The 25,175-nt window shown below is 48.0% G+C and overlaps 1 long non-coding RNA gene across 2 annotated transcripts in view, besides 2 other annotated features; it reads right to left on the minus strand.

Moving 5' to 3' along the window:
• Positions 1-5,434: 5,434 nt before the first annotated feature.
• Positions 5,435-25,175, minus strand: part of LOC101929974 (uncharacterized) — a 76,895-nt gene continuing 57,154 nt past the window's right edge. Inside the window, exons 3-6 of one of the 2 annotated variants that reach the window (NR_187798.1) lie at positions 21,678-21,911; positions 9,894-10,076; positions 7,601-9,561; positions 5,435-6,393 (exon numbers count right to left, since the gene is read on the minus strand). This is a non-coding gene — a long non-coding RNA (uncharacterized LOC101929974). Of the gene's footprint in view, positions 6,394-7,600; positions 9,562-9,893; positions 10,077-15,312; positions 17,638-21,677; positions 21,912-25,175 lie in introns of those variants that run through there. The other variant, NR_187799.1, reaches the window with a different exon arrangement.
• Positions 7,127-7,632: an enhancer, noted in NCBI's record as "H3K4me1 hESC enhancer chr12:131939217-131939722 (GRCh37/hg19 assembly coordinates)". NCBI's record gives its function as "activates a minimal SCP1, AML or CMV promoter by ChIP-STARR-seq in naive H9 embryonic stem cells {active_cell/tissue: H9 hESC(naive)}" and the evidence as "EXISTENCE:reporter gene assay evidence [ECO:0000049][PMID:30033119]".
• Positions 7,209-7,258: a silencer, noted in NCBI's record as "silent region_5097". NCBI's record gives its function as "represses an Ori minimal core promoter by ATAC-STARR-seq in GM12878 lymphoblastoid cells {active_cell/tissue: GM12878}" and the evidence as "EXISTENCE:reporter gene assay evidence [ECO:0000049][PMID:35858748]".

Consider the following 25,175-nt stretch of genomic DNA (forward strand, 5'->3'; position numbering starts at 1 on the left):
CAAAAGCCATTACTGGAGAGAGGGAGGCAGCTGGTGCAGAAACCAGTGCCCCTGGTGGATGGGAGGGTGGGGCTTTTCCTGAGATGGAAAAGGCAGACTGAGGGGCACAGGCTGCTGTGGCCCAGACTAAAGCCATCACCGTCTGGTCTGCCTGGTCTGTGGGGACCCTCCTCGGCCTCAGCGCCCCGTCTGCAGTGCCCACCCACCAGGGCCCACTGATCCCCATTCCCAGGGGTGCAGGGCTCCTCTGCTGGAAGAGGGTTCTGGGCCAGTTTGTCTCTGGGGCACTGAGGAGGGCAGATGCTGCTCCACCAACCCCGCTTCCCCGCGGAGATGCCCTGGAGCTCAGCTCAGGTGAGTTTCCGCCCCACGAATGAGGGGTCAGGTTCTCCATGGAGACGGCGCGGGGGGATGCCGCACAGCTGCTGAAACAGAGGCCCAGGAGGGTTATTTTATTTTCATGAAGAACCGTTTACAAAACACCATGTAGTGAGAAAGTCAGGCTTAAGAATAACCTGAACGGGGTGGTTACATTTTTTGTTAACAAAGAAAAACATATCACTTGTCTGTATTTGTGCAACTCGGGAAAACGTTGGCCATGGATGGGGACTTTGTTTTTTTTTTTACGTCTCTACAGTCTCTAAATTTCCTGCAATGATGAGTTGTGCTTAGAATAGGAAAATATCGGGAAAGTTAATTTTAAAAGGAGAAATTGTAGGGCGGACAGCCTCCCTTGGTGGGAGCAGGGCTTCTTCGGAGATGCTGGAAGGGCAACACCCTGGCTGGGGGCCCTGACCCAGGAGGAGGCCAGAACTCAGGGACTGGGACTGTGGGGGCCTCCCTGGGCGAGGCATCTCCGGACAGGAACAGAACTGACTGAGGTTCATGAAGGAGTAGTCAGGCGTCTGGGATACCCAGGAAATTAGGCACCGGAAGACACCAGGGAGGGACAGGCGCTGTGCAGGAGACGGGGAGGGAGGGAGGCGAGCCCAGGAGAGGAGCCCACACCAGCCCCGCACTGCTCACCCACACACTTGCCTCCCGGTCCAAGGAAGAAATGAGACTCACACTGGGCTCCCAGGTGCAGGAGCCTCAGGCGGGGGCTGCTCCCTGCCCCCACTGAGTGCAAACACTGGGCCTGCACTGCCTACACCTGCACCCCCAATGTGTCCAGTCGCTCCCCAATTCTTTTATTTTTTACACTTTAAAAACTGGGATATCATTCACATACCATATAATTGCACCAACTGCACAAGTTACTAGTTTCTAGTACATTCCTAGAGTTATGCAACAGTCATATTTTCATCACCCCACCCCCCAAAAATTGCGTGCATTCCTCTCTCCATTCCCCAGCCCCTGGCAACCACCAGCTGCTTTCTGTGTCTATGGATTGGCAGTTTCTGGGCCCCTTATATGAATGGAATCGTATGGCATGTGGCCTCTGTGTCTGGCTTCTTTCACTTAGCAAAATGTTCTCATGGTTCATCCACTATGTAACCTGTGGCGGTGCTTTATTCCCTCCTATGGCTAAATAACGTTCCATCGTAGAGATGGACCACATTTTCTAATCCATTCATCTGTTGATGGACATTTGTGTTATTTCCACCTTTCGGCTATTATGAATAATGCTGCCATGACCATTTGTGTATGAGTATTTGCGTAAACATGTCTTCCAGTTCTCTTGAGTGTCTATCTAGGAGTGGAATAGCTGAGTCATGGGATAATTCTATGATTAACTTTTTGAGGAACTGCCCAATTATTTTCTCTATCGGCATCACCATTTTACATTCACACCAACAATGAATAAAGGATCCAGTTCCTCCATATCCTCACCAATACTTATTCTTTTATTATTTTGCTTTTTTTTAAAATTATAGGCATCCCAGTGGGTATGAAGTGGTATCTCATTGTGATTTTGATTGAATTTCCCTGATGGCTAAAGATGCAAATTTTTTCATGTGCTTATTGGACATTTGTGTATCTTCTTTGCACAAATGTCTATTCAAATACTTTGCCTATTTTAAAATTTATTTTTCATTCTACTGTTGAGTTCTAAGAATTCTTCATATATCCTGGATACCAGATACTTATCAGATATTCTCTGGGTTGCCTTTTCACTTTCTTGATAGTGTTCCTTGGTGCATACATGTTTTAATTTTGATGAAGTCCAATTTATGTTTTTTCCCCTTGGTTATTTGTTTATATATATATATATATATCAAATCTAAGAAACAGTTGCCTAATCCAGGGTCATGAAGATTTGTACTTTTGTGTTTTTTAAGGGTTTTATATTTTTAGCTATTATTTCTAGGTCTTTAATTCATTTTGAGTTATTTGTCATACATAATGTGAGGTGAGGATCCAAGTTCACTCTTCTGTGGACTATTCAGTTTGTAGCTTTATAGTAAGTTTTGAACTTGAGAGTGTGAGTCCTCCAGTTTTGTTCTTTTTTCAAAGTTGTTTTGGCTATTCTAGGTCCCTTGCATGTCCACATGAATTTTATTTTTTTACTTGTATAAATTTATGCAGTTTATAAATTTATGGGGTAAGCGATAAATTGGGGTACAAGTGCAATTTTGTTGCATGCATAGATTGCATAATGGTCAAGTCAGGGCTTTTATGGAATTAGAATCAGCTTATTCATTTTTACAAAAGAGACAGTTGGAGTTTTCTAGTGATTGCATTAAATCTGTATCAATTTGGCGCACACTGCCACCCTAACAGTATTCAGTCTCCCAATACATGAGCATGGGATGTCTTTCCATTTATTAGTTCTTTAATTTTTCAACAATGTTTCATAGTTTTCAGTAAGCAAATATTGCATGTCTTTAGTTGAATTTATTCCTGTTTTATTCCTTTTGATGCTTTTATAGATGGCACTTATTTCTTAATTTCCATTGTAGTTTTTTCATTGATAGTGTTTAGCAGTGCAGCTGAGATTGTGTATTGATCTTGTATTCTGCATCCTTGCTGAACTCATTTATTAGCTCTAACCGATTTTGTGTGTGGGTGTGTGTAGGTTGTTTAGCGTTTTCTATAGATAAGATCATATCCTCAGCAAATGGAGATAATTTTACTTCTTCCTTTCCAATCCAGATGCCTTTTATCTCATGTCCTTACCTAAGTGCCATAGCTGGAACTTCCAGTACAATATTGAATGGAAATGGTGAGCACAGACATCCTTATCTTATTCTTCATCTTATGGGAAAATAGTTCCATCTTCCACTCTGAAGCATGATGTTAGCTATAGGCTTTTCATAGATGCCCTTCAGCTGGTTGAGGAAGTTCCCTTCATTCCTAATTTGTTGAATACTTTTTTTATGAAAAAGTGTTGGATTTGTCAAATGCAACTATTTTTTTCCACATCTATTGAGATATCACATAGTTTTAGCTCTTTGCTCTATTAATATACTGTTATATTGATAGATTTTCTTATGTTGAATCAACATGGCATTCCAGGGGAAAAAATCTTATTTGGTAATAATTTTTAATTATAATTTTATATGCTCCTCAGTTTAGATTAATAGTACCTTGTTGAGGAGTTTTGTGTCTGTATTCTTAAGGCCATTGATCTATGGTTTCCTTTTTTGTAATACTTTTGTCTGGTTTTAGTGTCAGGGTACTAACTGGCCTCAGAGAATGAGTTAGGAAGTATTCCATACTCACATATTTTAGGAGAGTTTTTGAAGGATTGGTGTTTCTTCTTTGAACATTTGGAGAATTTCTCAATGAAACCATCTAGTCCTGTAATTTACTTTGTAGAAACTGTTATTATTTATGAACTCAATGTCTTTACTTATTATAGGTCTAGTCAAGCTTTCTCTTTCTTCTTGGGTCAGTTTTGGAAATTTGCAACTTTCTAGGGATTGTTCCTTTCATTTAGGTTTTCTAATTTGTTGGTGTACATGGTACATTGTATTTACTTATAATCCTTTTTTTTTTTTTTTTTTTTTTTTGAGATGGAGTCTTTCTCTGTCCACCCAGGCTGGAGTGCAATGGCACAATCTTGGCTCACTGTAACCTCTGCCTCCCGGGTTCAAGTGATTCTTCTGCCTCAGCCTCCTAAGTAGCTGGGATTACAGGCACCCACCATCATGCCTGGATAGTTTTTGTATTTTTGCAGAGATGGGTTTTCACCATGTTGGCCAGGCTGGTCTTGAACTCCTGACCTCAGATATCTGCCCACCTTGGCCTCCCAAAGTGCTGGGATTATGGGGGTGGGCCACTGCACCTAGCCGTATTTCCTTACAATCTTTCATTCTTCATAAGCTTGGTAGTAATGCTCTTCTTTCATTTCTAATTTTAATCATTTGAATCGTCCCTCTTTTTTCGTGGGTCAACATAGCTAAAGTTTTGTCGATTTTCTTGATTCTTCAAAATGAGTAGAATTCCATTTATTTCTGCTCTAATCTGTATTCACTTTTTTCTTCTTCCTTTGGACTTAGTGTGCTCTTCTTTTCCCAGCTTCCTAAGGTGGAAAGTTAGGTTAATGACTTGAGATATTTCTTCTTGTCTAATCTAGATGTATGTGGCTATAATAAATTTCCCTGTGACACAGCATCCCATAAATTCTGGTATATTGTGCTTTTGTTTTTATCCATCTCAAAGTATTTTCTAATATCCCTTATGATTTCTTCTTGACCCATTTTATTGTTCAGAAATATGTTGTCTAATTTTCACATATAGACCAATTTACCAAGTTTTCTTCTATTACAGATTTCTAATTTCACTCCAGTGTTGTTGGAGAACTTACTTGGTATAATGTCATTCTTTAAAATTTCCTGAGACTTATTTTATCACCTGGAATAGGATGTATTCTTCGTATCATGTGAACGTGGAGAGAATGTGTTTCCTGCTGTTGTTGGGTGAAATGTTCTGCACATGGCCTGCCCCAGATGAGAGCCAGTGGGTCATGAGGAACAAGGGGCTCATCAGTAATTAGTCAGTTTGCTGGCTGCTGCAGATACTGGTTCAGTGATGGTGCCACAGACACTGGGGGAGGAGCAGGCTTCCTGCTGAGAGCTGTGCTGGAGCTGCCCCGTGTCAACAGTTAGAATAACAACAGCTTTCAGCATGCAAACGCTGCAGCTGTGGGTCCAAGCAATGGCAGGCAAGTCCCTCCTGCAATGTGCCATTCTGATATAACCACCTTCCAACCCTCCCGTGAAGCACCCTGCACATGAATCAGGAGCTGGGCGTTCACACCGGCCACGGGGCGTCCTCTGCACCGCTGTGCCTCTCAGCGCCACTGCCCCCTTCCTGCTTTGGACGGAATTGCATTTTAAAAATAAAACAGGCCAGTCTTTTGTAGATACCTGAGGACTTTTACCTTTTCATGGGGATCTGGCTATTCACGATGCTAGTAACAGCTATTCATTTGGAAGGGGTGTTGCACGACTCAGTCTCCAGGCATAAGGAGAATGGGGTCCTGAGATTTTTTTTTGTTTTTTTTTTTTTTTGAGATAGCATCTCCTTCTGTCGCCTAGCCTGTAGTGCAGTGGTGCGATCTCGGCTCACTGCAACCTCTGCCTCCCGGGTTCAAGTGATTCTCCTGTCTCAGCCTTCAGAGTAGCTGGGATTATAGGTGTATGCCACCATGTCTGGCTAATTTTTTGAATTTTTAGTAGAGACGGGGTTTCACCATGTTGCCCAGACTGGTCTCGAACTCCTGACCTCAGGTGATCCGCCCACCTTGGCCTCCCAAAGTGCTGGGATTACAGGCTTCAGCCACCGCTCCTGGCTGAGATTTTTTTATTTTCCTTTACATAGATTACAACAATGTGTGGAGAAGGCTTGAAGACTATTTGAAGATTGTTGCAATAATTTTTGTGTTTTATAAAGACGTGAATTCAAGTACATCTCTGTTCAGGCTCTTTATATACCTAAAGTCTTATGCCTAATTTCAAAGGAGTTTACACTCTATGAGAGTATTATTGAACACTTAATAAGAGTCAGGCAAATGCTTTACATGATTTATCTCGTTTAATCCTCACAACCATCCATTGTCACTAGGTAGGCCATACTGTCTTCCCTATACTATAAGTGAAGAAATTGAGGCCTTGGCAAGATTATGCACACTGGGCAATATCTCACAGCCAGTATATGTGGAGTCTAAATTTGAATCCAGGTGGTCTGAATCTAGAAGCTATATTCATGAACAATTTAACCTTTTATAATATAAATGTAAATGGACTTGCTTGAAGACAGAAAGTATTAACAGGAGTATATGATGCCTAGAGTCTAGGAATAGAACCAGAAACTCATGGTGAAGGGGTTAAGAGCATGAGCTTTGGGGACAGGAGGTAGCCCTTGGTTTCATTTCCAACCAATCCTTATTACCTCTGTAATTATATACAAGTTCCTGAAGACCTCTCAGAACTTTTGTTTCTTCATCTGCAAAAGAAGGTCATTGTGATGATGTATTTTATGTAAAACACATAGCACAGAATATAACACATAGTAAGTCCTTAATAAATATTAAGCAAAAGAGGGAAAGATATTCTAACTTTATCCATAACTATCTCTGAATGTTTATAAACAGAGTCCCTAGGGAAATACAAGTGCTGCCTGAATATCTGTGTTTAAGTGTAAACCCATCTAAATAAAATCAATTAAACTGGAAGCAATATTTCATAAGGAAAAGACTAGAGGTTACAGCTCTTAGCCTGCCTGCTATTAACCATCTTTGGGATCTTACTTAATATAGGACTTCATCATCACGATGCAGTTTAAGAGACTGCTTCCTGAACTGTCTATTCCAGACTTATGCTGTGTCCTGGGGAGGTAAGAGGGCTTATACATTGCCCCTGCCCCAACTTCACTAGATCAAGATTTTTCTCACTGATGAAATGCATAGGTGGAAGGTGAGAAAGGTTTTACTAAGCTGATTTAAATTATTTTGATTTTAAAATTAAAATTATTGTGATTTTTATCATTTAATTATTTTGCCAGATGCATCTATTGGGTATTAATGTAATGAATCACAGTTAAAAGTTTTCCCAATTATCAAAAATAAATAAATAAATAAATAAATAAATAAATAAATAAATAAATAAAACAAAGAGCATTTGCAGTGAGAATGGGCTGCAGTAGGGTGAGCACTGATGGGAATTGAAGTCCACAAGCTGGCAGGTGGGGCCCTCGTCCCCGGGGCACATGGCATAGGGAAGCAGGAGAGGCGCCCAGGCCTTGTGGGCCTGAGGTTTATGTGACTGGGAGGGTGTTCCTGGGGAAGACACTACAAAATCACACAGAGTTGCAAGGGACCCTCTCACACTCTGCAGAGGCCCATGTGACACGGCAGGGACAGGAACTGCAAGCAGCTCCACTGCAGGAGCACCTGCCCCCCTTGTGGCCATGCAGGGCATACACAGCCCGGCCATGCAGCAGCTCCCAGCCACTCCTCACATGCCCACAGCAACTATCGCCTAAGGAAGAGACGTCTCCCGACCACAGTCACCAGGCCACACGCTCCCTCCAATGGCTCCCTTCCTTTCTGGGTCAAAGCCTGACACTCCCTGGCTCCTGCCCCCACCCCTGCCTCAACATCTGTGCCCAGCCCCACAGCTCCATCTGCTCCTTAAACCCCCGAGCTCCTTACCTGGACATCAATGTGGTGGGGAAGGCCAGCGAGGAGCCTTAGAGGACGTGACTTTTAAGCAGAATCCTTAAGAAAGAGTGGAACGTGGCCAGGTAGAAATCTGACGGAAGTGTCCAGCAAAGGCAGGCCCGAGTCCCAGGATCCCCGACGGTTAGGAGCTTGGTTGGCTGAGGACAGGTGTGGGCAGCTCCTGCTGAGGCAGGAGAGGTAGGCAGCGCCAGGCAGTCAGGGCCTATTAGGACGAGGACTCACCCAGCCTGAGGAGACTCTGAGGAAACGCGTGATGCAGACAGACTTAAAACTGTAAGAGGCCCCATGGCTGCTCTGGACAGGGAGGGTTGGCGGGACAAAGGCAGGTGGAGGCGCCACGGAGTCTGTTCATGGGGGTTCAGGAGAGAGTGATGAGGGTGGGCTGGCACCGAGGGGGCTCCTCCAAGGGAGGGTTATGAGAAATTCCCTTGGGGCCAAAGGGGATTGACATGTGGTCATGGGAAGGGCAGCCCGGAGACTCCCTCCTGAATAGTCACCAAGGTCCAGTTCCCTTGTGCATGGCGGAACCCAGGCCTGTGGGCGGCTCTTCCACCCCATGGGGTGGGGGCACAGGACAGGGAGGAAGCACTTTGGGGACCCCTCAGAGCCCCGGTTCAGCGAACCTCAGGAGCCCGCGCAACCCACAGCCCATTCTGGAAATGGTGGTATCCCACCCAGGGGCCCAGTGGGGAGGGGAGGTGGGCCAGGCTTTCCACTGTGCTCTCCTTGTCATCTGCAGCTGAGACTCCAGCCCAGCTCACTCCTGTGTCTTCTCGTCCTAATCTCTGACATGAGTACAGTAGGACTCACCCGACAGCAGGTGCTCTCAGATCCCTGCCCATTTCTGGCCAAAAGAGCCTTCAGGACAGCCCGGCAGTGCCAGGAATCGGGAAGCTCATGGGGACCGCAAGGTCTGGAGATGGGAGGGCAGGGGAATGTGTGTGTGTATGTGTGTCTGTGTGTCTGTGTACGTGTGTGTGTGTGTCTGTGTATGTATGTGTGTGCATATGTATGTGTATGTGTGTGTATATGTGTGTGTGTGTGTCCTTCCTGGAGCTTCTTAGTGTACCTGCAAATGCCTCCAAGAGCAACCCACGTGCCTGTCCTGGGCCTGTGGCCCTGATGCCCTTTCATCCATGCCCCGCCCTTCCTGATCTGCTGGGAATTTGTGGGGGTTGGGGGCTGATCTGCTGCGAATTTGTAGAGTTGGGCTTCCCACACCCCTGGTCAGCTAGCCTCAGGCTGAGCTCAGACAGTGAGAGGCCCTGGTGGGTGATGGGGGGCGGGGAGGAGCCAGGCTATTCCCCATCCTTCTCTGCCTCAAGCGCCTCGGGCAGCTGCCTGTCTTCCCTGCCAGCTCCACGTCTCAGGGGTCCTGGGGCCACCACACACTGCGTGATTAGAGAGTGGACTCCATGGCTTATTACAGAGAAAGGCCACGTAGCAAGATCAGCAGGGGAGAAAGACCCAGGGGAGTCCACCAAACACGCGTCTTGCTCCAGCAACCAAGTCAGCAACACATCCAGAGTGTCGCTTCCCAGGGAGGCCGTGTAGGTCTCCGAGTGCGGGGCTTCTACAGGGGGCTGGTCACATAGGCACCCTCTGCCTGTGCAGCCACTGTGGTGACAGAAGTCAGGCGTGCGCTGATCACACTGCAGAGTCCAGGCAGCTGGTAGGGAACGGCTTAGTTCCCTGAGTGCACAAACGACCTGGTCAACCAGTCACTCAGGAAACGTTCCAAAAGCCAAGTTCCCGGATGCTGGCTGGGGATCACCCGGATGCTGGCTGGGGATTACCCGGATGCTGGCTGGGGATCACCCGGATGCTGGCTGGGGATCACCCGGATGCTGGCTGGGGCTCATCGCTGCACACGGGCCTCCATGAACACGCGTCAGAATCAGGCAGCCTCCGGCCTGCTGCGCACGTCGTTCCTGCACACCGAGGCTGCTGTGGGTCCAGCTTCCCCAGAGACCCCAGCCCTGGGCTCCGCCAGCACCACCCACCCCGCTCCAGCCCAGGGATGGAGCCGCCGCCTTCTCTCCTGGCCTCTGAGTTGCCTCCCAGCCCCCATCTGACTTCTCAGCTCTCCCGTCCCCTCCGTAACCCACTCCCTGCCTCAGTCTCCTGTGTGGTAAATACACGAGTTCTCCAGTGAGGCCCCAACTGCTGCATCCTTGGATTAATTTAAGGATCCAAGGACAGAGGCCAGAGAAGCCTGCATGGACCTGGGTATCAGACGCAGAAGTAATGGAGCATTAGTCACCTTAGTCACCACGTTCTCAGTCAGCGAGGTCAGGTGCACGTCCAGACCTGATGGACGCTCCTTCACAGGGACCTCCGGTGCGCAAACAGGACTCCATGGAGAGCAGCTCGGGGGCAAGGACAGGCTTCTCTAAAGCATGGTGAGGCACCACTGTCACTGAGGATGCACGGTCCTCTCCTTGCCCTGGAAGCAGAGAACGGGAATGTGCAGCCACAGTGAGTGTGCGACCAACCCCAGGCCAGCTCAGTCCCCTTACTTAAGTCCCTGAACAGCGGAGCCCTGACTGCCTCCAGCCAGGTTCTCCATCCACAGCCCCAGTATTTGGGTCTTGGAGCAGTGCTGACAGCCAAGATGGTGAGGGGGTAGCAGGAAGCTAGATGCGGAGCAGGCATTTCCCAGCCTGGCAGAACCATGGAGAGACCCCCCCCCGGCCCCCACCGCCGCCACCAAGGGCAAAGTCAGAGCAGGACACAGTGGGTCGGGGTGGGGTTCCCAGGGTCCTGACCCTGAGGCAGCAGGACCCCAGGCACAGGCAGGACCCCACCTCCCCCCCTCCACCTGTAGGCTCCTCCTTTCTCCAGACGCCCCTCAGCAAGGAAGAGCGGACCCAGACCGGTGGGTGCTATTTGCTCCAGACTCCCCAGCGCCTATGCGGCTGAACCCTAAGGATTCCCACGCGGCTCCAGAGGGACGTTTCCAAACACACGCCCAAGTCCTCCAGAAGGTGACTTGAAGATAAAAGTCCTAAATGAATGCAGAGCAGTTTCAACACATGAGTTCACATACATGCTCCCAACTGTTTCTAAATGTTAGGGGAAATCCCAACCTTTGTCTTTGAAAAACACCAGAGTGTCTTGTTTGTGATTTTAAAACACTCAAAGACAAATTGCCAGTTTGCCGTGTGTATTTCAAATCTACTTTCCGTTTATTTAATTTCTTGGCTTCTTTAACTTGAAGCTTCCCACCAGGGCTCCAAACCTCTTTCTTACTATCGAACAGTGTGACTACCCAGGCTGCTGAAGGCACCGCTTGTCATCTATCTAGAAATTACCTTCTCTGCATGTTGCCTGGAACTGTGGAGGGTTCACCATTATAAATTATAGTTCAAATTACAAAACAGGGCCCCTATTGATGATTTCAGGTTCTAAGTGTGTAATTATGGTGCTTTTGCTAATGACATAATGAAGAGAGGTGATTATGTCATTAAAATGTGATGTTTTTTATATCCCGAAGAAGCTGCCTATGTGTCGTAATGAACGTCCTGGGTATGGGGTCAGAGTGGGCTCTCCCTCGAGGACCCTGAGGCCGTCCTACAGGGAAGAGTGGGGTTTTGTCCAGTGAAGTATTTGCTAGTCACAGGCTGCGCTGCTTAGTCCTGAGAACGAGACACTTTCAGAGTTAATGCCACAAATATTGTTCTTCGGCTCAGTAATGTTAGGACGAAACAAACCCTTGTTATTCTAATTGTTTGAATTATCCAGTTGAGATCCTGGGCAGTCTTGTCCTGTTTAATGACTGACAATTAGGCTTCAATGGCGTTCACGTTGACGGGTGCTGGATCGCCCGGCTTGGGGCGTCTCACGTGGCTTCAGCCCTGCCCTCCCTGCGGATCTGGCTCTGGTACCCACCGCGCTGAAGGAGGGAGCGTGGGAACACGTGAGCCTCTCTGCACAGGGAGGTCCCAGGACTGACACCGACACGGAATCTCCTCACCTTCCACGGGTCCCTCGGGTCCCCAAATCCAAACTCACGCCGGGAAGTACCTCAACGCACTTCCGCCCTGGCCCAGGCTGGACAAAGCCCAGGTGCTGCTGAGCTGGAAACTCGCTCTTCAATGAGGTTCATCTTTTTCCGCGCCAATGACATCTTTATGGGGGAGGCATTCAGTTATGCGCCCGAGGCTCAGCACCTCATGTGCAGTTGTGGGTCTGAGTCCTGGATAGAAGCTGGTGGAGGGTCTGGGGGTTTTGTTCACCCCACACTGAAGGGCCCCGAGCACCTTCTCACCCACCCACCCACGGGGGTGTCATGAGTCCAGCCACAGGCCTGCCTGTGACTCCCAACAGTTTCAGAAGGAAATGAAATTTCAGGAGATTCAAGCAGTGATGGTGGGTGTATTCCACATTTCCTCCTTTTTTAACACAATGAAAATGTAATTATCCTCCCTTACAAGAACTCCCAGCCACTTGAAGGACTGTCAGCCCAGCTGCGCTGTGACGGTCACATATTCTTGTTTGCCTGTGCCTTTTCACTGTTTTCACAGAAGGAAGCCGAGTTTGAGCTAGTTCCATTTCACCATCAAAGGCAGGGCATGAGGAGCGATGGGGAGAGAAACGTGGATGCGAAGAGGCGCCTGCCGCCTGTGTTCTCACAAAGCCACAGAGCATGGACCTGCTCCCCCTACCCCCCAGCGCTACCCTGGCCTGGGTAGGTGACCGCAGTCTGGAGGAGGGGATGGGGACAAGGGAAAGCGGGGCGGGGATCTGACCCAGGAGCAGCAAAGAGCAGGTCCTGACAATTCCCTGATTAACCGGCGTGCAGCTAGACAGGGCAGGTCTCCATGGAGAAATACACGTGGCTTATTTAATTAATCCTGAAAAGTAAGTTCCCCTGGCCTTGCCCCAAATCGGAGTCCCCCTTTTAACGATGAGAATAGATCATTGAATCAGATTTCATGAAGTCTGCTCAGATTTTTCTTATTGAATTCCATGAAGGTGTTACTTTCAGGACTCTGCCCCGGCGCCCATGGTTCAGGGACATCCTACATGCACTGGTTCCTGCTGCGGCACAGAAGGGCCCAGGGATGCCGTCTATGGGATTTCTGCTCCGAGACAGGCTGCCCCATCCACCTGTGCCCTCCGTGTGCCCCCACCCACCCCTGCTCCTCCCCGCCCTCTCCATTAATCAGCGTGAACTGAGGACTCCACTCTTAATATTTAGCCAAATCAGGCATTTAAAAATGTCATTCTCCTGGGAGGAGATCATTATTAAAAAGGGAATTAATTTATTCTCAAGCCAAATATAAATCCTCCGTCATCCATGGACTGCTCTTAGATTACTCATCTCCTGGTATCTTTTCCACCAGGACGAGTGAATGAGCGAACCTAAGTGTGGGTGCACAGAGTGTCACCATATTCTGGAACTCAAGTTGTGTTTGGGTCTGTTTTTCTCTGCTTTTCTGATTGACTTTTCCTTGCTCTCGGCTGTGCCAGGCAGAGCTAATGTCCATGCATTTCACAAACACGGGAAAATTCAGAAGCTGTTCTTGCTAGGAGATGTGCCCGGAGAGGAAGATGCCAGCCAGGAAACAAAGCCAAGTGTTAAAGCCTCCTATTTGTCTAACTGCATAAGTAATGCACATTCATTACTCATAAAGGCAGGAAGGGGAGGGGGTCAGGAAATAATGACAGGCAAAGAAAATAAACCCTATAAATTTGTATTATCAGGGACAAATCACTGTGAACAATTAGGATTGAATTGAATTTTTACCATCTTTTACAGTCTCACTTCTAAAAAGGCACACATAGAATGTAATAGGCGTAACCTTGTTTATACCTAGATGGGACCACTTTATAAACAATATTTTGTCATCTACCAATTTCACTAGATTGCAGACACCATTGCTTCTAATTAACGCAGATCTGTGAGACCCGCTGATTTCTGCAGAGCACTCGTCTGCCTCCATCCTAAAGTTGAGACAGTTCCCTGTGTTCAGTTCTTAGGTTTTCCCAGTGTTTTTGCTATCTTGCACTGGGATGTAAGCAGTGTCCCTGGATGGCTCATGAACCCTCAGCACAGTCCCTGGCAGTGGAGTGGGCACTGTGCCTGATGACACTATGACCATCCTCCCCAGGTGGCCCCTGTTTCCATCACAGGGCTGAGAGGGGCTCTGGAAAGTTCCCTGGACCCCCTTCTCTGCCCACGAGCTTCTCTGCCACATCTGGTTAGATCTAAGAGGGAAATGGGACAGGAGCCCTAGAGGGGCTTTCAGGCTGCAGGACAAGGCCCTGTTGTCCCAAATGTCCACCCCTGGCAACTGTCAGCTCTCCTCCCAGCCAGGGGGCAGCCCCAGGGAAGAGCCCAGGCAATGTCCTCTCCTTGGGCTTTATTATTAACTGAAGAAAAAGGGGTGGCCTTTAAAGACTTTTTAAGATGAGGAAAAAATAAGTCAGAAGGAGCCAAATCAGGACTGAAAGGTGGACGCCTGATGATTTCCCAGGGATGCTCTCAAGATTGCCCTGGTTTGGCCAGGCGTGGTAGCTCACGCTTGTAATCCCAGCACTTTGGGAGGCTGAGGTGGGTGGATCACGAGGTCAGGAGTTTGAGACCAGCCTGACCAACATGGTGAAACCTCATCTCTACTAAAAATACAAAAATTAACCAGGCATGGTGGTGGGTGCCTGTAATCCCAGCTACTCAGGAGGCTGAGGCAGGAGAATCACTTGAACCTGGGAGGCAAGGTTGTTTGCAGTAAGCCAAGATCGCACCATTGCACTCTAGCCTGGGTGACAAAGCAAAGCTCCGTCTCAACAACAACAACAAAAAAAGACTGCCCTGGTTTGATGGTAAGAAATAGCAGAAGCATTGTTGTGGTGGAGAAGGACTCTCTGGTGAAGCTTTCCTAGGCAACTTTCTGCTAAAGCTTTGGCTAACTTTCTCAAAACACTCTCATAATAAGCAGCTGTTATTGTTCTTTGGCCCTCCAGAAAGTCAACAGACAAAATGCCTTGAACATTCCCCAAAATTGTTGCCATGACCTTTGCTCTTGGGTGGCCACGTTTGCTGTGACTGCAGCACTTCCACCTCTTGGTAGCCATTGCTTTGATTGTGTCTCCAGAATGGTACTAGCAAAGCCATGTTTCATCTCCTGTTACAATTCTTCAAAGCAATGCTTCAAGATCTTCATCCCCCTCTTGCTTAAAATTTCCATTGAAAGCTCTGCCCTGGTTGGCAACTGATCTGGGTGCAAGTTTGGGCACTCATTACGTAGAAAATTTGCTCAACTTTAATTTTTTGGCCAGGATTGGGAAAGCTGAACCAATTGAGGTGTCTATGGTGTTGGCTATTGTTTGTGCTGCTAAGCACCAGTCCTCTTCAACTAGGGCATAAGCAAGATTAATTTTTTCCTCTCAAATTGATGTGGTCTGCTGCTGCAGGCTTCATGTTCAACATCATCCTGTTCCTTCTTAAAATGGCGTAACCATTTGTAAATGGCTGCTTTCTGTGGGGCATTATCCACCTAAACTGTTTAGAAAGCATCAATGACTTCACCATTCCTCTACCTAACCTTCACCATAAATTTGGTGTTTGTTTTTGCTTCAGTTTTGCATAATTCACGTTGCTCTGATGACCCTTTCCAAACTGATGTCTTATCTTTCTTAGTGTCTCAAACTAAACTGTATAAAACTCAGACATTTTATAACAAGTTAGTATGAGTTTATTTTGGTGCAAAAGATTTGAAATCCATGCATAGTTTTATTCATAAGATTCATTTTCCATAAACTTTTGAAAACACCTCATAAAAATAGCTGACTCTTGAACAACACAGGTTTAAACTGGTGGGGGTGCCACTTATATGTGGATTTTTTTCAGTAAATTTGTTGGAAAAATGTTTGAAGATTTGCAACAATTTGAAAAACTCGCAGCTGAAACACATAACCTAGAAATATTGGAAAAAAATTAAAGTTAGGCATACCATGAATACATAAAATAAATGTAGATACTAGCCTATCTTATCATTTACTACCACAATGTTAGACAAATTATTATAAAAGTTAAAATTTATCAAAATTACACATATAAACACAGACTTTACATGGCATCATTCACAGTCAAGAGAAATGTAAACAAACATAAAGATGCATAAAACTCACTGTAGTACGTCACATACCACTGTCATAATTTCATGGCCACCTCCTGTTGCTACTACGGTGAGCTCAAGTGTTCTGAGTATTTGCTGGAAATGCAGTGTGATGCTAATCACCTCCCCATGCACAGCTCATCGCTCCAGTAAATTACATATTGCAGTAAAAAGTGATCTCTTGTGGTTCTCATGTATTTTTTTAATCATATTTACTGCAATACCATAAACCTTGAGTAACACCATGAGACCTACGAGAAGTGCCACTAGTGATGCTGGAAGTGCTCCAAGAAGCAGAGAAAAGTCATGACATTACAATACAAAGTTGAATTGCCTGATATGTACTCTAGGTCAAGGTCTGCAGCTGAGATTGCTTGCCAATTCAAGATAAATGAATTTAGCGTAAGGACCATTACAAAAAAAAGAAAGAAAGAAAGAAAAGGAAATCCATGAAGCCGTTGCTGCAGCTATACCAGCAAGCACAAACACCTCACACTTTTTGTAGCATACGTTTGAATTTCATATTGAAAATGCAGCTTTTGTGTGGGTGCAGAATTACTACGAGAAAGGCATACTGTAGACTTTAATGATTTGAGAAAAACTGAAGTCATTATCTGACAACTTAAAGCAAAAGGAAGGTGAAGAAGCTAAAGCTGGAGAGTTTAATGCCAGCCAAAGATGGTTTGATAATTTTAGAAAGAGAGAGGTTTGGCTTTCAAAAAATGTCAGGATAACAGGAGAAGCAGCTTCTGCTTACCAAGAAGTAGGAGACAAGTTACTAGACACCATTAAGAAAATCAATGAGCATAAAGGCTATCTGCCTGAACAGATTTTTAATGCTGATGAAAGTGCTCTATTTTGGGAGGAAAATGCCACAAATGACATTTATTAGTAAGAAAGAGAAGTGAGCACCAGCACTGAAGGCAGGCAGGGAGAGGCCAACTCTACTGTTTTGTGCAAATGCAGTTGGGTTTATGGTCAGGACTGCCCTTATCTATAAAGCTGCTAACCCCCAAGGCTTGAAGAGAAAAGATAAACACCAGCCGCCAGTCTCTTGTACAACATGGAGGTCTGGACAGTGAGCACCCTTTTCCTGGATTGATTTCATGGATGCTTTGTCCCTGATGTAAGGAAGTACCTTGCCAGTAAGGGACTGCCTTTTAAAATCTGTTTGATTTTGGATAATGTCCCTGGCCACCCAGAACGCCTTGGGTTCAACACCAAAGGCATCAAAGCGGTCTTGTCCCCAAATACAATACAATGTCTTTAATACAATACAAGACAAGACAAATACAATGTCTCTAATTCAGCCTCTAGATCAGGAGTCATAAGGACTTTTAAGGCCCATTAAGCACAGTACTGTATGGCCAGGATTGTCAACGTTATGGAACAGAATTCCAGTAGCAAGAATGTCATGTAAGTCTGGAAGGACTACACCGTGGAAGATGCCATCGGTAGAAAAAGCTGTGAAAGCCATCGAGTCTGAAACTATGAATTCCTGCTGGAAAAAAAAAAACTATGTCTGGATGTTGTACATGACTTCACAGGGTTTACAACAGAGCCAATCAAAAAAATCATGAAAGTGATTGTGCATCTGGCAAAAATAATGATGGGGGGTTGAAGAATTTCAAGATATGGATCTTGGAGAAATCCAAGAGCTAACAGACACCACACCAGAGGAATTCACAGAAGACAATAACCAGAAGACGACTTGATGGAGGTGAGTGCTTCTGAACCAGCGCCGGATGATGAGGAAGAAAACAAAGAAGAAGCCATACCAGAAAACACATTGACTTCAGACAATCTGCCAGGAGAGTTCCAGTATTCCATCTTGCTTTTCACTTCCTTACTGACACGGACCCTTCTATGACGCAGGCACTGAATCTAAAGCAAACGGTGGCAATAGGATTCACATAAAAATATTTTTAGAAAAATGAAAAAGCAAACAGGTCAGACAAAATTTCCCGGAAATTGCACTGAGTGTGCCTGCCTCTCTTGCCTTCCCTCCTTCCACCTCCTCCACCTCTCACATCTCTGCCACCCCTGAGACAGCACAACCAACCCCTCCCTTTCCTCCTCTCAGCCTACTCAACACGAAGACAATGAGGGTGAAGATCTTTACAATGATGTGCTTCCACTAGTGAATAGCAAATAAATTTTCTCTTATGATTTTAAATAACATTCTCTGTATGCTAGTTTACTTTATTGTAAGAATACAGTATATAATTTACAAAATATATGTAAATCTACTGTGTTATCAGTAATGCTTCTGGTCAACAGTAGGCTATTAATAGTTAAGTTTTGAGAGAGTCGAAAATTATACATGGATTTTTCAACTGTGCGGGAGGTTAGCACTCCCAATTCCTGTGTGGTTCAAGGGTGAACTGTATACGCGCACACACACACACGCACGCACACACACGATTCTCTCCTTGGATTTTTTTCTGCAAAACTCCTACTCATGCCCTGTCTAACACATTACTTTGATCTTGTCTAAGTTTCTTTAGAATTTAATAAATTATACTTTTACATCAGTCATAATATTGGCTCAAGGTATGAAATGGATCCAATTATAGGAAAAGAAGGAAATGTGCCTTCTGGCAGCTGAGTTTATGGTCTTTACAACCCTGCATCCTGCTTAGCTGTGGTTTCTATTCACCAAGCCTCAGCCTGTCCTTTGCTCATCCCCAGCCCAAATGCACTTCATTCATGGAGACTTTGTCCATCCAAACCAGGGCTGTCCAACCTTTTGGCTTCCCTGGGCCACACTGGAAGAAGAAGAATTGTCTCGGGCCACACATAAAATACACTAACAATAGCTAATGAGCTTTAAAAAATTGCAAAAAAAAATCTCATAATGTTTTAAGAAATTTTACATATTTATGTTGGGCTGTATTCAAAGGTGTCCTGGGCCACATGTGGCCCACACGCCGCGGGTTGGAGGAGGCTGATCTAAACCTAGAGCAGGGCCCTCGTCCCCAAAGTGCATGTTCCCGGGTTGTATTTACGAGGATGATTCTGCCTCAGGACAAGTGAAACAAGGCCTAGGTGTGCTGGCCACTCAGCCCATTCATTTTGGGAAGGGACTTGTTCAATCAGCTTTTGGAATCCTCAATGTCTCCCTCAGACCTGGCAACTGAGCCAGGCCGGCTCTAGCCCCTGAGCTCGAGTGGTGACAGAGGGGCTCCTGGTCCACATCCCACGTCATCCCAGCAGTTCAGGGGATGCTGGAAGAGGGAAGGACACAGGACTGAAGGGGCTGTACCCGCTGCTCAGCCACAGGTGTATTCTCCCCTCTGCAAGAGGACAGGGCTGCCTTTTCCTGTTGGACAGAGAGAGTCCAGCTCTGAGAACCCTGGGGCTGCCTTTCCAGAGGGAGTGGGAAGGCAGCCACCAATTCCCCCAACCACCTGCCCACAGGCCCACGGCTCCATCCCACCCCCACCTCCACTCCAGGAAGAGCCAGTCACCCTCCCATGCCTGCCCTCCGGCCTCACCTCTTCCTCTGCCCAACACCATTTTTCTCGTCTTGGGGAAAGTCTGCCCTCACCTTGTATGTTGGGCCAGGGTTAGCTGTGTTGGCACAGAAACATCCAAAACTCAAGAATCTCATGAGGAAAACACTTGTTTCTCTCTCACAGGAATGTGGAGTGGTAATTCCAGTCGGCAGAAAGACTCTGCTCCATGCGGTCATTCAGGGGCCCAGGCTGATGGCTGCTAAGCTACCATCAACATGCGGTTTCCAGGGTCACCTGGGCATCACCACCTCAGTCAACAGGAGGATGGGAGGGGCATGTCAGGTGCCTCCACAGGAGGTTTAGGGCCCAGCCCTGAACATGCATAATTTCTTGCCCAGCACTGACAGCCCCTCTGCAGGTAGGACTGAGCTGAGACCCTCCAAAGTCATAGTGCCATGGATGATAAGGGAGGGCAGGCTCCAGAGCTGCTGTACAAGCCCAAGCCCAGGTGTCTTCTGACCAGTTGTTAAAGTTACAGAGCCCTCGTCATGATCCTGGGGTGGAAAGTGATGTTCCTCCACTCTCCATTTGTGGGTGTTGTGCAGTGACTTGGTTCACAGGCACTGTTAATGGGGAGTGGGCAGCACAGAGATTGGGGCAGACGGAGATGGGAGCAGGGTCTGCCCGGTTCACTTCCAGCACAAATCACTCCTTTGCCAAGAGTAAGTGTTAAATCCTGACAACAAACTCTCCTGGAGACTCATCCCTCAGATTAAAGGCATGGACAAGTTTTGCAGTTAAAAAAAAAAGTAATGCATTCACTTTGCTAATGCACTGCTTGCAAAAAATGAAAAATATAAAAACATAGAATACTGTTTTTGTGCAACGTCTTAATAGTCTGTAGAATTAGTGTTTGCAGGAGACACTGTGAAAAAGTCAGGCCTTTTTTTTTTTTTCTCCTTTTAAGAGACAGGGTCTCACTGTGTCATCCAGGCTGGAGTGCAGTGGCATGATCACAGCTCACTGCAGCCTCAAAATCCTGGGCTCAAGTGATCCTCCCACATCAGCCTCTCAAGCAGCTGGGACTACAAGCGTGCACCACCATGCACGGCTAATAGTTTTTTATTATTCTTGTAAAGACAGGGTCTCCCTACATTGCCCAGCTGGTCTCAAATTCATGAGCTCAAGTGATCCTCCTACCTCGGCCTCCCAAAGTGCTGGGATTACAGGTATGAGCCACTGTGCCTGGCCCAGGCAGGCCTTTGAGATGAAGACCAAATTCCTGAGCCTGGTATTGAAGGCCTTCAAAAGTTTGACTCCCCTCATTATGGCCAACACCAACACAGTGACTACATTTGCTACACACTATTCTAAAGCTTTACTATGTTAACTCATTTAATCTTCACAATAAGTGAATGAGGTTTGATGATGATGATGATTCTCACTATAGAGATGAGGATGATAATATCCAGAGTTCCCAAGATGCACCTAGCGAGGAGGAAGCCCAGGTCTGGGACCCCTGTGACAGCTTCTCCAGTAACAAATGGCCCTGAAATCCCAGCAGCAGCACAAAACCTCAGTTCTCACTCACACTCCATGAGCACAGGGCTGGGGCTCGGCTGGGCTCCACAGAGTCACTCAGGGCCCTGATGACCAAGGCTCCGCTCCTCATGCCCACACTCAAGAGAGCATGTGGCCCCTTAGTCAGGGCAGCAGGAAATGTGCAGCTGGAGGGGCCCAGGGGGCTTTTCTCCACCTCAGCCAGGTGTCACCAGGTCCCTCTTGCCCTAAGTCCATTGGCCAGGACTAGTCACAAGACTCTGCCCATCAGCAGGGGGGGCGGGACGTATGTGGACAGAGGGAAGGTCAGGAGGGCGCCACACCTCCACTCATCCTCCTGCTTAGACCACACAGAGGGGTCTTAGAGGGCCTTTAATTTATGATCCTGTTTCTGAGATGAACACGAAGACCTCTTGGACACCAGAGCCCAGAGGACAGAGTGTGTTTGAGCAGCCTTGTGATCGAGATTGTTTCCCACCCAGGGGGCAAACGCACCCAGGAAAGCCCCCATCGAATCCACTGAAAATGGAGAACCCACACCCCAGGGGAAGCTCAGAGCCTGCTCCATGGCTGGCGGCCAAATGCACACGGAGCCTCTGCTCAGTGTTACAAGGAAGGTTTTCACTGCACAGAAAACTCTCTTCTCTGGACTTGAGAAACAACCAAAGCAATGGCTTGTGGTGGATCCTAGCACCGTGAGGCCCAGGAGAGGGGAAGCTTCCAAAACCAGGGAGCAGGGGAGCGGCTGGAGGCGCTCGCATCCGCACCTGCTGCACAGCAAAGTGCCGCACATCTCAGAGGCGGAATGCGGGGCTTCCTTCCCAGGTGACTGCAGTTTGGCCGCGGTGGCTCAGATCTCAGTGGGGCTGGCTCAGGGGTCTGAGGGTCCAACGGGTGTCAGCTCACCTTGCGCCACTCAGATGAACAGTGCAGCAGCGGCAGTGTGGCTGGCTCTGCTCCCGCACCGCGCGTCCTCCCTGGTCCCACAGGCAGCCAGGCATGTCCCCCTGTGCTGATGGCAGAGGCACAGGGAGTGAGCCTCAGTGAGGAGCTCCCTGGAGCCCGGGCAGCGCCTGTCCACTGATGTTTCACTGGACAACGCAGGTGACATGGCTTTGATTGGAGCAGGATATTCCACACCTGGAGAACGGGGCCAGGAAGAGAAAGAATATTTCAGGAAAATCATCTCATCTCCCCCAGAACACAGTAGGGTGTGGGCCTGGGGCTGCCAGGGCCATGGGCCGCCCCTCCCAGCACTCACAGCCGCACGCTGTGTGTCCTCGGCTGGACCTGGAAGGCTCCACCCCCACGGCCCCAGCAGGGAGCATACCCAATGATGCCTGTGCTACTGGATCCGCCACTGCCAAGGCCTCCCAGGGCAACAACAGCACGCACCCAGCATTTGTGCCCATCCCTTGCCCCACGCTGCAGGGCCTGCCTCCTGGGGACCTCTGAGCCTCTGAGCCCTGTGCTGCTCACGACGCTGAGAACGCTCCTGATCAGGAACGGACCCTACCCGCACGCCCAGGGCCTCACGAGCTCAATCAGGCCATCCCTCGACAACAGCTTCCAGGTGTGCCCTGCCTTCTGAACATAAAAGCTGATGAAAATCCCATCGCCCATTGGGAGTAAACGCCATGTGCATGGCTCCTCAGGAGGAGTCTGTAGGGAGAAAATCTTTCTTCCTTAATCTTCTGATAAGAGACCTATTTTCCCTACTGCAGTCGTGAGACACCCATAAGCAGTGATGCGGTGTTCCTGATGAGTTGTGAATTATCTCCTAAGTGTCTAAAAAGCGCCTCAGCCCACAGCAGCCTGCTGCCTTCAGAGGATGCACTAGATAACGGTCTCCCCAGCTGCTGGCGGGAGTCCTGTTCCGGTGTGGTGAGGAGCCAGGGACGTGGACACGGGAAGCCTGAGGGATTCTGCACCGTCTCCATCCCTTTCTGCTGGCCAGAGCCACTCCCAGGCTCAAGCCCAAAGCCAAGGGCAGAGGGTGGGGGCTCCACAGGGAGGGGTGAAGCCCTGTAGCCATGAGCTGGATCTATCACAGCCCCCACAGAGGGCTATTTACAGGTGGTGGTGAGAGAGGAGCTGAGATGTCCCTGAGGGGCGCCTGGGGAGGAACAGGCCCTACAAGGTGACTCCAGGTCAACCTCTTAGGAGGACACCATCTCCCGGGATCCCGGAGGGAGCCACACGTTTCTGAACAGGGCCAGATGGAAAGTAGGAAATATGAGGGGTAGATGAGACTAGAACTGTTTTCAAAGATACAGAAAAAGGAGGGATTAACTCCAGGGACCCTCTCCCTACTAGAATTCCTGAAGGAAATGCATAAAGAAGACAATTTACTGAGAAGCAGTTTGAAATACAGTAAGTTACAGTGAGAAAAGAAAATGATGTATATGGTACAATAGTAAATAATTATTAAATAATAATATCGACAGAGGAAATAAAACCAAACCCAGCTAGAAGACTGTATGTTAACAGCCTGTCAGCCAGAGGGCAATAGTTGAAATTAATAATCATAATTCAGAAAGGAGGCAGAGATGGCTATTAATGAAAGTGTAATGAATTAAACGCACTTGTCAAAAGGTAAGCGACAAGAGATGCAGAATGTCCATCCTAAAAACCAGTAGGGGAAGGAAAACAATGAAAAAAAATTCTGAAGAAGACAAGTCCATGCTGTGCTATATTATCTTAGAAAACACAAACATCTCCGTGTTTCTGTATGTGTTTAACATATCTCTGGAAGGTTCACAGAAGACGGGGTTGCCCACAGGGAACATGGAGATTCCTGTCTAAGTGGTAGTTGTTAGAGAAAGAGGACATTCATTTAAAATCCCAGCATATTCTTCCTGGTGAAAATTAATTTTAAAACCCATCATTTAAGAGATTGGAAAAGTGTGGCTGTAAACTGGAGGAGAACTAAAGGACATGCCAGGAGAGAATGTGGGCTTAGGGAGGAGTTCCCTTGAGCCGGGAGCTCCTGGGAACATCTAGAGGGGAGGGGACGCAGCCACGACAGAGGCGGAGGAGGAGTCAGGAGAGGAGACAGTGGTGCAGGGGAGGCAGGACGGGGCCAGCGGTGCTGCCAGGGCCTGCTCCTGCTCTCCCAGAGCTCCTGCTGTGCCCGTGGTCACACTTTTCCATACCTCCCTGGAGCTGTAGACAGGCGAAGGCCCCTGAGTGGTGTAGCCACGCCAAGACGTGCTTTAGGAAGGAAACTGCCCAAGCATTAAAGGGAAATGAGGTCACGGTGAACTTTGTCCCCTCTGGGCTTGAACAGAGAAGAGCATCTGTCCTGGGATGGAGGACGTGGATGGAGCAGGACCACGCAGCGTGGCACCTGCAATGTCAGAGGCACCTGGGCAGGAACACCTGGCACAGCCATGTCATCTTGTTTGTGCCTCGGTTCATCCTCCCAGAGCCGGCCCCTCCATCCCCAGGAGCGAACCCCACCCTCCCTATCATAATGGGCTGACCAGGGCCAAATTGGTTTCATGAAAAGGAGACACCTGCAGGCAGAGCCCAGCGGACACTCGGTTGTCTGAAGTTGCCGCACCTGCTTCATTTTGCTTATTGAGCTACTCCTGATGCCCACAGCACTTTCTAACAAGAAATGAGCAGCGAATCCACGGAAACCAATGGGAATGGGATGTGGCAGGCATGATTTACAGTTTAGTTAATTCGAATAAGCAGAGAATCACACCCACTGAGAGATTCGGAACCACAGCCTCCACGACACACGGCTCCTCTCAGCAGGAGTCCTTCCCAGCAAAGGCTCCCCCAACACACCCCGTTCCACATCACGGAGTGCCAGCCCCGGCCCAGCCCGGCTCATCCTCAGGGAGATGGACTCAGCAGGGCTGCCAGAGCCCAGGCCAGCGCTGCTCCCTCCCTCACCGTCCACAACCAGGGCCAACTCATCTTCACAGCTCGACCCCATGCTCTGGTCACTTTTCAGCCCAGTGACTGTTTCAAAGGCATCTGGCACAAGTCAGGAGAGTGCTGTGGAGTCAGTGGAGGCTCCCAGCCAATGAGAGCACCCCCTTCAGGTGAGCTCCTTCCCCCATGGGGACTGCAGCATGGGGAGACCAGCTTCCCCGCATCAGCCCTGCATAAGCTCTGAGCTCTGCTGCTCCATGCCCCGCACGGCTGCTCTAGGGATGAGCATGGTGATATCTGGCTTCCGTGTCCGGGGAGCCTCTGGTCATCAGCAAAGTGAGGGGTGCACACACAGCCCTGCGGTGAAGACAGGGGTGTGGCTGATAGGACCCCAGGGCATCGGGACTCCCACCTGTCAGCAGCAGAAGTGGACCTGCTCTGTGCACAAGGGAGCTGCCTTTGACCTGATTTTGGCAGTGATGGCGGTGTCCACAGAGGTCAGGATTTACTGATTTA

Source organism: Homo sapiens, chromosome 12 (assembly GCF_000001405.40).
Source record: "Homo sapiens chromosome 12, GRCh38.p14 Primary Assembly".
NCBI classification, from domain to species: domain Eukaryota; kingdom Metazoa; phylum Chordata; class Mammalia; order Primates; family Hominidae; genus Homo; species Homo sapiens.